Source organism: Homo sapiens, chromosome 21 (genome assembly GCF_000001405.40).
Source record: "Homo sapiens chromosome 21, GRCh38.p14 Primary Assembly".
Classification (NCBI taxonomy): Eukaryota; Metazoa; Chordata; class Mammalia; order Primates; family Hominidae; genus Homo; species Homo sapiens.
Window position 1 is genome coordinate 45,894,942 of NC_000021.9, and position 13,391 is coordinate 45,908,332.

The 13,391-nt window shown below is 55.4% G+C and overlaps 1 protein-coding gene across 26 annotated transcripts in view, besides 2 other annotated features; it reads left to right on the forward strand.

Moving 5' to 3' along the window:
* Nucleotides 1-13,391, forward strand: part of PCBP3 (poly(rC) binding protein 3) — a 298,726-nt gene that overhangs the window by 251,217 nt on the left and 34,118 nt on the right. For all 26 annotated transcript variants that reach the window (NR_145492.2, NR_189734.1, NR_145493.2 and 23 more), the window contains 4 exon segments: nucleotides 1,267-1,421; nucleotides 4,658-4,681; nucleotides 5,650-5,682; nucleotides 6,056-6,172. Coding sequence is in view for 23 of the 26 variants with exons in the window: in NM_001382284.1 (NP_001369213.1) it covers nucleotides 1,267-1,421; nucleotides 4,658-4,681; nucleotides 5,650-5,682; nucleotides 6,056-6,172 (329 nt within the window). In the remaining 3 variants the exon portion in view is untranslated.
* Nucleotides 2,893-3,393: an enhancer, noted in NCBI's record as "H3K4me1 hESC enhancer chr21:47317748-47318248 (GRCh37/hg19 assembly coordinates)". NCBI's record gives its function as "activates a minimal SCP1, AML or CMV promoter by ChIP-STARR-seq in primed H9 embryonic stem cells {active_cell/tissue: H9 hESC(primed)}" and the evidence as "EXISTENCE:reporter gene assay evidence [ECO:0000049][PMID:30033119]".
* Nucleotides 3,394-3,894: an enhancer, noted in NCBI's record as "H3K4me1 hESC enhancer chr21:47318249-47318749 (GRCh37/hg19 assembly coordinates)". NCBI's record gives its function as "activates a minimal SCP1, AML or CMV promoter by ChIP-STARR-seq in primed H9 embryonic stem cells {active_cell/tissue: H9 hESC(primed)}" and the evidence as "EXISTENCE:reporter gene assay evidence [ECO:0000049][PMID:30033119]".

The window sequence follows — 13,391 nt, forward strand, 5'->3', positions numbered from 1 at the left end:
ATTTGTAATAAAATTACAATAATTTTGTGATAGTCTGAGTGTGTTGATGAAGTGACCTATACATGTGTTTTTAAGCACAGGTGTAGACAGCGTAAGCGCGGGTGTAGACAGCGTGTCACTTTGTCAGTGCAGAGGTGCATCCCTGGCTGTGGCTCCCGTCCACCCCCTGACACCTGTGGCTGCTCTTTGTAGATCCTCCTTACACACCACAAAGGCAGTTGGAACGGGCTTTACGTCTGTGTTATCTTTGTGTTTTTCTTTTAGCATATTCTTTTAACAGAACTATTTTATTGAGAAAAAAGCCCTCTGCCCTGACTTTTAACCCATAGCCGCCTCTTCTGTGTGAACCGGTTGAATCAAAGGGCAGTGTCCAGGCAGCTCGATTATGGTGGGGGGTGCAGCTTCACAGGTTTCTGTTCCTGGTGGGTTTTACGAGCCAGCCCCCTCGGTGAGGTGTTGCCCTTCAGGGAAGGACTCGGGATGAGGCTGACTCTGCAGAGCCCAGTACCTCGGAGCAGGGTCCCCACCGTGCCACACAAAGTCACCCTGACTGTTGCACGAGTCCCTCACTTCCACTACCATCATTCTTTGCTGGTCAGTCATAAAATGAGGCCTTAATTTTGCCCAGTGGGCTCCGTCAACTCACTGAATGATGGCACACAGTAGTGACACGATGACTGCAGACAGCACTGTGTGCTTGGAAGGCACTTGCCGAGAACTGCCAAGGACACCAGCCGTTTGGCAGCTTGGTTGATGGAGACTAAGTCATATGAGAGCATGAGGGGATGAGGATGGCAGGCTTGGGACGTGAAGGGCCGGCTCCCACACCCTGGTCAGGGGACTCTGGCACCCCGTGACTGTGTGTTGAGGCCACAGCAGAAGCAGGGGGCAAAGCCCCAGGGCGCTGGGCCTGTGAGCTGCAAGTCCCCTGGGCCTCACAGGGGTAGCTCCTGCCAGTCTCCGGCTGCTGAGAGAGGTGCTTCCGTGACCCTGGGCAGATGCAGACCTCGGCCAGGGGCTGCGGTGGCCTGCCCAGCGTCAGGAGGGAGGCAGCCGTGGGGCCTCCCTGGAGACCTCTCCCAAGGCCCTCCCCTGAACTCCCGTGCACCCTGTGCCCAGCAGGCGAGGCCTGGTCAGCACATGGTGGGTGGGCAACCCCATTCTCCTGCCACCCGGGAGGCCGGAGTGGGAGCGGCCCAGGACACCCCTGGATGTGCGTGGTCCGTGAGACTCTTCTCTAGCAGCAGCTGTGCCTTCTCTCTCCAGGTGACGCCTTCTGGGCCCCATCTGTCCTTCCTCACAGCACCCTCAGCACCTTAAGCCACCACCCTCAGCCACAATTTGGCAGAAGGATGGAGTCCAAGGTCTCAGAAGGTGGCCTGAATGTGACCCTCACCATCCGCCTGCTGATGCATGGAAAGGTAAGAGGAGCCGCCATTGTCTCTGTAGGAAAGGCGGCCGCGGCAGACAGAACCAGAGATGCACTGCCCGGGCCATTGGCACTGTAGGAAAGGCAGACATGGCACATAGAACCGGAGATGCACTGCCCGGGCCATTGTCTCTGTAGGAAAGGCAGACATGGCACATAGAACCGGAGATGCACTGCCCGGGCCATTGTCTCTGTAGGAAAGGCGGCCGCGGCACATAGAACTGGAGACGCACTGCCCGGGCCATTGTCTCTGTAGGAAAGGCAGACATGGCACATAGAACCGGAGATGCACTGCCCGGGCCATTGGCACTGTAGGAAAGGCGGCCGCGGCACATAGAACCAGAGATGCACTGCCCGGGCCATTGTCTCTGTAGGAAAGGCAGACATGGCACATAGAACCGGAGACGCACTGCCTGGGCCATTGTCTCTGTAGGAAAGGCAGACATGGCACATAGAACCAGAGATGCACTGCCCGGGCCATTGTCTCTGTAGGAAAGGCGGCCGCGGCACATAGAACCGGAGATGCACTGCCTGGGCCATTGTCTCTGTAGGAAAGGCGGACATGGCACATAGAACCGGAGATGCACTGCCCGGGCCATTGTCTCTGTAGGAAAGGCGGACATGGCACATAGAACCGGAGATGCACTGCCCGGGCCATTGTCTCTGTAGGAAAGGCGGACATGGCACGCAGAACCTGACACTGCCTGGGTCATTGGATCATTTTTTAATCTTATTTTAAGCAATCTCAAACTTACAAGGCAGTTATAGGTACAGCCCCTTTGAGACAGTGCCAACCTGATATCTTCTGCGTGTTTCCTACAAACAGGGACCTTCTCCAGCACAACCACACACAGCCATCAGTGTCAGGGCACCCACACGGATGCGTTCCCACCACTGGCCTCCCTTCACAGCGGCCGCAAAGCATCCCCTGGTCCCCTGTCTCAAGTCCCTTCCACCTGGAGTAGGTCGTCGGCTTTGACTGTGCAGTCGGCACTTTCTGCACAGCGTGTGTGGAGCACCCATGCCTTGGTCTAGGTCTCCTGGCCGTTGGCAGGAACGTGGCAGCAGCTCTGTCCCGGGGTGTGCCTGTCAGCCGCTCCCAGGAACCTGTCCTCAGACTTTCAGAGCATGTGTTTCTATCCTCTGGGAGTCAGGTTGCTATGTTGTTCCCCGGCTTTTCCTTCCATGACCACGTGATTTGCTCCGATGCCCTCGCTGCCCCTGCTTTGGCCAGAACCCCAAGGCCCGACGAGTCCCTGTTCCTATAGCCCCATCCTGCTCTTTGCTCATCTTGTCTTCCTTGTCCCAGTCCTGGAACCAGCCACTGCCCCAGCAGCTCCTGTGTGTGGTGGCATGTTCTGGAAGCCAGGATGCATGGTGCTCCTGGGCTGCTGTGGGTCCTGGGCTGCTGTGGGTCCCGAGCTGCTGTGGGTCCTGGGCTGCACCCCTGCAGAACACTTCCTTCCATGTTCAGCTCCCTATATGGAACCCCAGTTCCAGCCCCACAGCACAGGGTCCCCCAGTTCTTCCTGCCTCAGGTGTGCACCACGAGGAATCCAACTGCCAGTATCTGTGCGTGGCCTCCCGCCGGGAGGAGGCTGCCGGAGGCTCTGAGCTCTAGCCCCACAGCACTGGCACATCCTAGATTTCCGGGAAGACACGGCCTCCTCCCCAGGGGAAGGTGGTGGTGCCCACACCCAGAGCATTCATTCCTGCAGTGGAGACAGAGGGACCTGCCTCTCCAACTGTGGGTGTCAGGAGCCAAGGCGCATGGTAAATGGGGCTCTCTGTGAGGCCAGGTGCACGGCCCCATCTCCAGCAGCAGCGGCCATGCCACCCAGCTGCACTCTGTGGGGGAGGTGCCATGATTGACGGGGGCCCCTCCCTGTGTCCAGTGTCCTCCTCCCTCCACGGGCCCCTCTGCACACCGTCCTCACAGTCTCCCTCTGCACACCGTCCTCACAGCCTCCCTCTGCACACCATCCTCATGGTCTCCCTCTGCACACCGTCCTCACAGCCTCCCTCTGCACACCGTCCTCACAGCCTCCCTCTGCACACCGTCCTCACAGCCTCCCTCTGCACACCATCCTCATGGTCTCCCTCTCCTTCCACAGACCCCTCTGCTCGCCATCCTGACGGCCTCCCTCTCCCTCCACGGACCCCTCTACACACTGTCCTCCCAGCCTCCCTCTACACGCCATCCTCACAGCCTCCCTCTCCCTCCACGGGCCCCTCTACACACCGTCCTCACGGCCTCCCTCTCCCTCCACGGGCCCCTCTGCACACCGTCCTCACAGCCTCCCTCTCCCTCCACGGGCCCCTCTGCACGCCGTCCTCACGGCCTCCCTCTGCCTCCACGGGCCCCTCTGCACGCCGTCCTCACGGCCTCCCTCTGCCTCCACGGGCCCCTCTGCATGCCGTCCTCACGGCCTCCCTCTCTCTCCACGGGCCCCTCTGCACGCCGTCCTCACGGCCTCCCTCTCTCTCCACGGGCCCCTCTGCACGCCGTCCTCACAGCCTTCCTCTTTTTCCACAGACCCCTCTGCACGCCGTCCTCACGGCCTCCCTCTCCCTCCACGGGCCCCTCTGCATGCCGTCCTCACAGCCTCACCGACGTCACCATTGCTGGCCCCGCTTCAGGTGACAGGCCACAGTAGCACCTGTCAGCTCTGTCCCGCTGCTGGACAGGGAGATACTGGGCCACTCAGCCCAGCGGGGAACGTGTGTCCCGAAACTGCCTTGGGCTCGCCATCAGAACTGTGGCAGCATCTTCCAGCGTTCCTTTTAACAGGCTGCCGTTGGAATAGGAGTCACGGAGCAATTGCAGTGCTAAGTTTTCTTTAAGTCACACAATTGAAGGAGGCTTTATTTTTCACACATTTCTTCCAGAGTTTCCTGGTAGCCTGAGTGCATGGGTGATGCCCCCTGAGTTATTTATCAGGGGCAGCCAGCTGCCCTCCCCCGGGGCACTTACAGTCAGCCCATCTCTGTCCTGGTCAGGTGGGCGCCAAGGAAGACCCGGCTCAGGGCCTCTGTATGGGCAGCCTGGCTTGTACACACACCCCTCCCCACCAGCAGATTCTGAATTCTCCCTTCTTCATGCACACCGGGAAGGTCCCTTCTGCACTCATACCGGGAAGGTAGGCAGGTTTCGGTAGTGTCTGCCTCCAGTGTTTTCCTCCTCCTGCTCTATGACATCATCTTTCTGTGATTTTTTTTTTCTTGCAGGAAGTTGGAAGCATCATCGGGAAGGTAATTATTGATTGAATCTCTGCCTCTCCTGGGGTCTCTGTAAGGGGATGGTGAGGATGGCAGCCTCCCTGGGTACTAGGTGGCACCCAGTAGGTGCGCCTTTCCCAGTTGGTGGGTGGTCTGTGTTCCATGAAGACAGGACCCCAGAGGTGTCGCCTTTATGCTGTATGACATTGAAGCTGGTCCCTGGCTCTGCGTGGCCTGAGGGGAAGGGGTTCACTCCAGCTGGTCACCTCGCTGCCCCCTGCCCGTGGCCTTGGTGGCCAGTCCTTCTTTCCCGGTTGAAGACCCCACGAAGAATGATTTCTCACGCCTTCTTCAGCCGGCTGTGTAGTCTGGGTGGTCTCCAGGAGTGCCAGTGGAGGCAGCAGCCCCCAGACAATTCCTTTCCAAATCAGGGCTGGCCCGGGGGAAGTAAGGCCCAGTTTGGAAGCCTGCTGCCCCGGGAGGCCGAGCAGTGAGGGCCACCTCCCTGTCTTCATCACATTTTCACCGCTTCCGGGGGTCCTTCCCCTCAGTCCCACCATGGGGGCGCCTCTAGTAGCTCATTGTCCCGGCTTCCTCCCAAACGCTTGAGAGGGCGCGTCTCTGAGAGTCACCACCTCCGGGAGGCTGAGCCAGAGTGTAGCCGGCAATGCGGGGCGCCTGAGGGCACGCACACTGCCATGTGCCATGAGTGAGCTGCCATGGGGAGTCAGGTCAGACCTGCGCCACCCTTGCCAGCTGTGTGCCTGTAGGTGGGTGCACTTGCATTCCTGGGCCTCAGTTTCCCATCTGAAATGTCTGCCAGGGTGTGGTGGGCATGGAGCCTGGCCTTCTTAGTGGAGAGGCTGGTTTGCTCCTCCAGCACAGGCAGGAGGCTCTGCTGTGTGGGCGTATGGGCCAGGCTGCTCCCCACCCACCATGGGCCGCGCCGTCCTCAGAGCCAGAGGGATACCTTTTCCTTATTGTCTAAATCTTTATTCCAGAAAGGAGAAACTGTGAAGAAGATGCGTGAGGAGGTGAGTGTGGTGGGTCCCCACCTGTCCGCAGCCATTCCCGGGTGGGCGGGGTGGGTCCCCAGGCTCTGCCCCTGCCGACGTCCTGCCTGTGCTCTTGGCCAGCCGGGGTGTGTGGGGAGTGCAGTGCGGGGCCTCTTTTCCCCTACTCAGGCCTCCTGTGCTCCCCTGTGGGGAAGGAATCTGTTGGATTCCTTTTGCTAGTTAAAATTTCATTGTAAAGGAGATTGTTGAGAAGCATTTTACTGTTCATTCATGGTTTCCGTCAGCGGACAGAGGCATGTGTTTGTGTCAATTGTCAACGGACTTGCGGCCCCCGACCCACTGGCCCAAGGGTTTTAATCAGGTCGCTGGGGTTTCTCTGCTCTCACCTTAGAGTGGTGCAAGGATCAACATCTCAGAGGGAAACTGCCCAGAGAGGATTGTGACCATCACAGGCCCCACAGACGCCATCTTCAAGGCCTTTGCCATGATCGCATACAAGTTTGAGGAGGTAACCTGCACCCCAGGCACCTCTGCCAGCCTGGCGGGGGCAGGCCTGGTCCCAGCTGGCTCCCTGGGTCCTCTCCCCTACACCTGGACTAGGGGATGCCCCAGCCCGCCCAGGCAACCCCATAACTACGCTCACCTCCTTTGCCTCCCAGGGCCTCTCCGCAGCTCTGGTTCACCCAGTCAGGGGCCAGTGTCTCTCCATCCTTCTGAAGCCAGCTACTCCCGGCTGTATGCCTTAGGTCCACCTCCCTCAGCTTCCCCAGACCCTGCCCTGGGGCACCGAGCACGGCCTCAGAACACCCCACCCTTCCCCTGGGGCGTGCAGCCTGGCTGACCCTTGGGCCACACCAGCACCTCCAGCCTCCAGCCAGCTCTGCCACATGGCTCTCGATGAAGCCCTGGCTGGCACAGCCCTGGTCCTCAGCCACACAGCACCATGCCTCTGGGGCCCCCGTGACAGCTGATGTAGCCTTGCTGAGATACGGACGGTAAAGGTAGAGGCCATCCGTGATAGTGGATATGAGACAGAGACAGAGAGAGAGACAGAGAGAGAGAGGAAGACAGAGAGAGACAGAGAGATGAGAGAGAGAGAGGAAGACAGAGAGAGAGAGATGAGAGAGAGAGAGACAGAAAGAGAGAGAGACAGAGACAGAGAGAGAGCGAGGGGGAGAGAGCAGCACTTCTGTGTATTCTGTCATTGAATGAAATTTTAATGTCTTTATGTGTTTCTAATTTTCTTGAAATTGCTGGAAGTTAGAGATGCATTTAGTGTCTTTGAGGAGTGACCATTAAGTAATGAGGTGCACTTTGTGGGAATAAACAAAGACCCCTCCAAGGGAGAATGGGCAGAGGCTCTTTATTATCCAAAGCTGGCCATGGTGGGGGTCGGCGCCATCTTCTGTGCTTGGCAGAGACTCAAAGGCAGGCAGGAGGGGGAGCTTGGGAGTGGGAGAGAAGAGGAGAGATGTGCCCTGGGGCCAGCAGTAGGGCTAGAAGTGGGGCATCCCATGTGACTGGTTGGAGGAGTGTGCGAGGCCTTTTCCAGTGGGTCCTGAGTTGGAACTGGGGATGCACATGAGGGAAGCTGACTGCCCAGAGCCGACTGCAGCAGAGCCTGTGGCCTGGCCTCCAAGGCTGGACACTGCAGACACTGGGGCCAGTGTTCCCCTATCGTAGGTGGCCTGGCCTCCAAGGCTGGACGCTGCAGACACTGGGGCCAGTGTTCCCCTATCGTAGGTGGCCTGGCCACTGTCTGTAGGTTGTCTCTTAGTTTCCCCTTTAAGCCACTCTCTCATTTGCAAGAGGATAGACAGTTCAGGAAAGGCTAGAGAGCCAGGTCACGCCGCTTGGGGATGGTTTAGTTGCCTTTTTGGTCAGCTGTGCTGCAGGGTCCTCTGGATCTTTCTGTTGCTGAGTCATCCTGGCCGTTGTCTGATGGGAGACTGATGGAATACAGCAGACCAGCATCATGACACCAAAACAGAAACAAGAACAACCCAGTCCCCGGATGGTGGTGAGACCAAGAGCGCCGTTACCCAACCCAAGGCAAGAGGACACATCCCATAGCCATGAGGACCAGCCTTGGAGAGTCTCATAGCCGCTCCTTAGGGTGCTGGGCAGCCCGCTCCTGGGACCTTCGCTCTGCAGGTAACATGTGCAGTGGCACAGACGCCAGCATGGCTGGCCAGCAAGAAACTGGAGAAAAGCAATCACCCACCGCTGCTTGTGCCAACACGTCTTCCACCCAGGGCAGGCGGTGTCCCGAATAACTTCTGCTGGAGTTGGCGATGGGTTTCTGACCGCACTTTCTGCCTGTGTGATTCCCACTGTGGGGGACACTCAGTCATCCCTTCCACGAGTACACAAATAATCACAGGTGGCCTCGTTTTGGAACTCGAGTTTGAGTCAGAATTTCCAGCTGTGGAGATTATAGAATTAGGGTCTTTGTACACAGAGAAGTCTCAGGATACCATTCCTAAGATGTCTGAGGTATTCATCTGAGGCCAGCAGGGCCTGGTGACTGGTCCCAAGGAAGCAGTGTCTGGTGGAGGCATATGGAGACTGGGGAAGGGCTGTTGCTCAGGACAAGAGGTTGGAACCAAGGCCTGTGTCCTCCAGCTTCAGTTGGGACCTGTTTTAGTTTCTCCCTCGTGGCCAGGGTTTCGTGGCCAGTTGCCCCATGCAGGTTGCTGAATTTAAGTTTTGAATGACCTAGGGACCGATCAGTAAACTTTAATAATTGGTTGCTTTTCTAGGAGAAAGGGACGCTAGCAAAGTCACAGGCAATTTGTTTAGAGTCAGTTGTCCACGTAGATGCAAGCAGAAAGACCATCAGCTGTCATTCCCCAGGGTCCCATTTGATGAGACTGGCATGTCTAGAGATGTGCATCCCTGGGGCCTGGTGGTGGGCGGTGTGTCCAGTGGTCAGTGAGAGTGAGGGCAGTGGTTACTGTTTGGGATAATCAAGAATGGCACTAGAACGAATATGTGCTAACATAACAATTATCATAAAGTGAAAAGAAAATAGAAAAGGGACCATCAACAGAGGTGGATGACAACCAGGGGTCCATGGAGAATAAGAGGGAGAATGATTATATATAAGCAGATGAAAAATGAAACAAATCAGACAGAGGTCTTGTCAGGACATCTGAGCAGACATTGTCCCTTGTCCAAGGTCTTCATCTTGCAGGAAGGTCTGAGATCAGCCGTCTGTTTCTGAAGAATGGCTGCCTCTAGAGGATCTCAGAGAACCTCAGTTTGAGGTCCTGTGTGGGAGTCTTTTTCTAGTTGTGTGGAATTCTGAATCGCTGCTTTGGCTGTGAAATGTGAAACCAAGGACTGATTCCTTGGAGTTTCACTGCTGGATTTGTTAGCAATACTTGTAAGACCCCTTGCAATGAGTTTAGAGAAACAGATTTTCTCTGACGTCCCTTCCAGTAGACAAAATCTCCTGGTTGAAGGTCCTAAGGAGGATGTTTGGGAAGATGTCATGGGAAGCAGCCGTAACCTACGCTATTACGTAGGTTATGTAGGGCTGTGCTGAGTCCTCTACAGTCATTTGTCATCTCTGCCGCAGCAGGGCAGAGTCGAGTATCAGGAATTCCTAAAGGTACAAGCCTTCCAGTCATCAGTCCATGGAGGAAGAGCTGAGATGTCTCCAAGCGCGCAGACTGTATGGCCAAGGAAGCTCGAGGGATTCGGACAGTTTTCATCTTTTGGTCCTTCGGTTTTTCCAGAAGACTGTGGATGCTCAGGAAGCTCGAGGGATTTGGAGTTTTCATCTTTTGGTCCTTTGGTTTTTCCAGAAGACTGTGGATGCTCAGGAAGCTCGAGGGATTTGGAGTTTTCATCTTTTGGTCCTTCGGTTTTTCCAGAAGACTGTGGATGGTCAGGACAGTGTTGTTCTTGAGTAAGGGGTAACTACTCAGAGAGTTCTGTTATAATGGTTTGTGTAAAATGTATTTCTCAATCACTTCATGTAAAAGTTGGTATGCTTCAGGTTGGAAATGCAAAATCAAGGAATTTTTTGGCAACTTTAAGGACCGTAGCTTTTAAACAAGGAAGTGCTTCAGCCCATCCTGAAAACACACACATAACAGCGAAAGTATTTCCAGTCCCAAGTGAACACTGGTTAAAATCTACCTGAAGGTGCTCAGAGGGCCCTTGAGTCGTCGCTCTGGGGCCGTGTCTCACCCTCACACCATGTCACGATTGTGCTGGTGACGGATACCTGGCCTTAAAAGAACCTCAGCAGTCTTTGTAAAGCTTCCCACCAGTGTTGACTGGAGATATTCATCCAGTCTTTGTAAAGCTTTCCCACCAGTGTTGACTGGAGATATTCATCAATTTGTCTACAGCATGATGAGTAGTTTCATGGATTGACTTAGCGAATATCTGTTTGAAATCATCTGGTACCACAGCCAGCTGAGAGCACCAGAGATTGAGTAAAGGATACAACCAGAATTTTCAGAATTTGTCCATTCTTCCTTTTCAAAATCAGGGGCGAAGTGTTGAAATCTTACAATGGCCTCTTGGCTTGCCTCCAGAGATCCAAACTTCGAGGCTTAGCTGGAGTCAAGCTGTGGCTAAAGCACTAGTTGGGCAGAATGACCCCCCAGAGCACCTCCTCCAACGACCGCATCTCCGTCTGCACTGGCCTCGCATCTGCAGTCACCACCTCTCTAGGAAGAAGTGTGCCCAAGAACTCAGCACCCGGCCCACGTAGGGTGGGCTTCCAGCAGAGCTAAAAGCCCCTCTGTTTCCAGAGCATCCACCGCCATGGGCCCTTGGTTAGTTGACAAGTGCTGGCAAGTGTGATGAGTTCTGCATCTGGCAGACTTTCTGCACCACAGAGGACTGTGCCGAAGGAGAGAGCCAGGTCAGCGGCAGCACACTGTCCCAGCCTGCTTGGGCTGCCATTGCAAAATGCCATGACTGCGTGGCTTACACGGCAGACGCTGGTTCTCTCACAGTCCAGGAGGCTGGAAGTCTCAGATGGAGGTGCCATCAGGGCCGGTTCCTCTGAGGCCTCTCTCTTTGGCTTGCAGATGCCGTCTTCTTCCTGGGTCCTCACAGAGTCACCCCTCTGTGTGTGTCAGTTCCTTGTCTCCTCTTACAAGGACACCAGTCAGATTACATTAGGGTCTACTGTAGGGACCCCATTTTACCTTAGTTACCTCTGTAAAGCCCCATCTCTAAACACAATCACACGGAGGGTCAGGGTTTCAGTGGATGAACTTGGTCCGGTTCTGCAGCACAGGCCCTGCCTGATCACCTCCAGCTTCAGTTGTGAAGTGGGATGTTAGGCCGGGATTCTCGACAGAGTCCACTAAGGCTGCAGGTAGGTGGGGTCCTCCACAGACTTCCTCGTCTCTGAACAAAGAGGGCGTCACCACGATGTGTCAGAACTGAATCGCTAGGGAGATTTAGGTCTTCTAAGTCTTAATGAGGACCTGGAAAAAGCAGGAGGAGACTTCAGTGACCCCCAGGGCGTGACTGTCCAAGTTCATCATTGTCCTCCCCATTGAGGGCAAAACATGCTCACTCTCCTGGTCTAGCGGCAGCCCTGGAGGGGCAGCGTGAACACCCACCACCATGAAGCACGTGGCTTTGGGAAGAATGGACAGCAAAGTTGTGTTTCGGTTCAGTACCCCTAGGAAGTAAGGGAGAATAATTTTGTTGGTGGCCCTGAGGTCTTCGGCAGATCAGTATCTTGGTATCTGTACTGGCAGGACAGGCGTGTCACAGGGGCTGGGGTCAGGTCAGGAAGGCCTTTGGGTAGGAGCCGTAGGGGTGGGGTCGGGCCGGGGAGGCCTTTGGATAGGGGCTAGGGTCGGGTCGGGAAGGCCTTGGACAGGGGCCGTTTGTCTGTAGTTTGAGCCCTTCTTTTGGATTTGGGGTCACAGGATTGTGGAGAATTTCGGGTCATGTTTTGGTGGAACCTCTCGGAGCCTTTAGAGGCTCTGCCCCGGTCATTTTGCCTGTGTTAGTGGGATTGTGTCAGGTGCAGCGTCAAGACCCTTACCCGGAGTCTACACCCACCTCATGAGGCAGGGGTCTGCCCAGAGCCCACACACTTGCCGGTGGGCCGAGGAGTTCTCCGGGAGCTCAGGAAACAGTGTCTCTGATGTACATTTAAGGTGCCATCCCGTTTTCAGGCAAAGTCTCTGCCTACTAAATTTTCAGGGGTGGAGTCCCAGAGCAAGAATGAATGTTTTCCAATCAAGGGCCCAAGGGTTACAGTTCAGGGCTGGAAAATAGGGAGAGAAAACACGGCGGGTGATTTGAAACGCCTCCCAGGGTGTGGTGTACCTAAACTGAGGAGGAGGATGACGTGAGACCTTTCTGCAGGTCGGATGCAGGAAGAGCCGCAGTGGCCACCAGGAGGATGAGGAAGACCACCTGCGTCCAGTGTTAGTCACCCTGAGAGCTGAAGGCCAGGCGGAGGCCGGCCGCCCGTTCCTTCCTCGGGCTCCCTCACTGCCTGGACCCAGGATCTTTCTATGTCTCAGTTGTTCTTTCTGGGGATGGGATCATCTTTTCTCTGGTGTCCTTTCTGAATGCAGCAGCTATTACATGAGTGTGCTTGTTGGGTGCTGGGGCTGGTGAGGGGCGCCTAGCTCTCTGGTCTGCAGGAGTCCTGGCTCATTTTTGTTCCAGAGCTTTTTCAGTGTGTTCTGCCAGTGGCTGTCATTCAGCAGAAGGGCTATTCCCATCCCTACTTCTGCGTTCGAGTGGGGTTTCACTCCACTGACCTCATGGGACGAAAGGGCTGCCCTCACGCCAGCGCCTCCCTTACCTCGAAGGGTAGAGACAGTCGAGGTTGTCGGAAGGGACTTTCTAGTCTGTCCCCAGATCTCCAGTTGTTTCATCTTACGTCTGTCTTTGTGCTTGTTCTAATCAGTTCCTACTGGAGATGTTTTAGGGGTGGCATTTAGGACTTTGCTATGGGACCTTTTTTGACCCTCGGGTTCATTTGTTGACAGAGTTCAGGTAACTCTGGGTCATGTGCAACCAAAAGAATTCTAAATTCTTCTGTTGGTCATTGCAGGTCTTGTCTGGGTGTAGGGAATCTGTAAGTGTGGCTCTGAATTCAGCTCCAATCCAAGGTTTAGCTTCTGGAGTTGCCTATTCGCCTGGCTCTCGGGGGATGGGTTTTTACAGGCAGCTGGCATTTGGGGGTTTTAGGAGGGCTGGAAAAGATAGAGGTAGAGTCGATGGAGGAGCTGGAAGGGAAGGACGGGGCGGGGGGAGTGCTGGGCAGGGGCAGTGGGAGGAAAAGGAGGGAGAGCTTACGAGCCTGGGGGTCTGGTTTGTTGCCGACGTCTGCCAGGTTGCTGACTAGCTGTAGCCAAAGAATGTTTTAGTGAAACTATTTTTAAATGAGAAGTTCATTTGAAGGCCTCTTCATACCAATCAAAAAATGCTGCCCATTGGGCCTGAAAAAATCTTATTATCTTTCTTTTTTAAGGTGCCTCTTAATGAACAATTTCGTTAAAGTCAAATGTTCCCCCAGGGCAGCCAGTGAGGCCCAATCATCCTTGGGGAATTGAGGCCACTTGGAGAGACAGGCACCAGAATTCCAGTTGCAGTGACTCCATTCAAGGAGTTTTCCTGGGAGAGGAGGGGATTGAGACATGGCCCCATGAGAGCGGGTGGCAGGAAGTGGGAATTTAGTGTCCGTGCCTGTGCCTCAGGTCCCTAACCCGACACCTTGACAC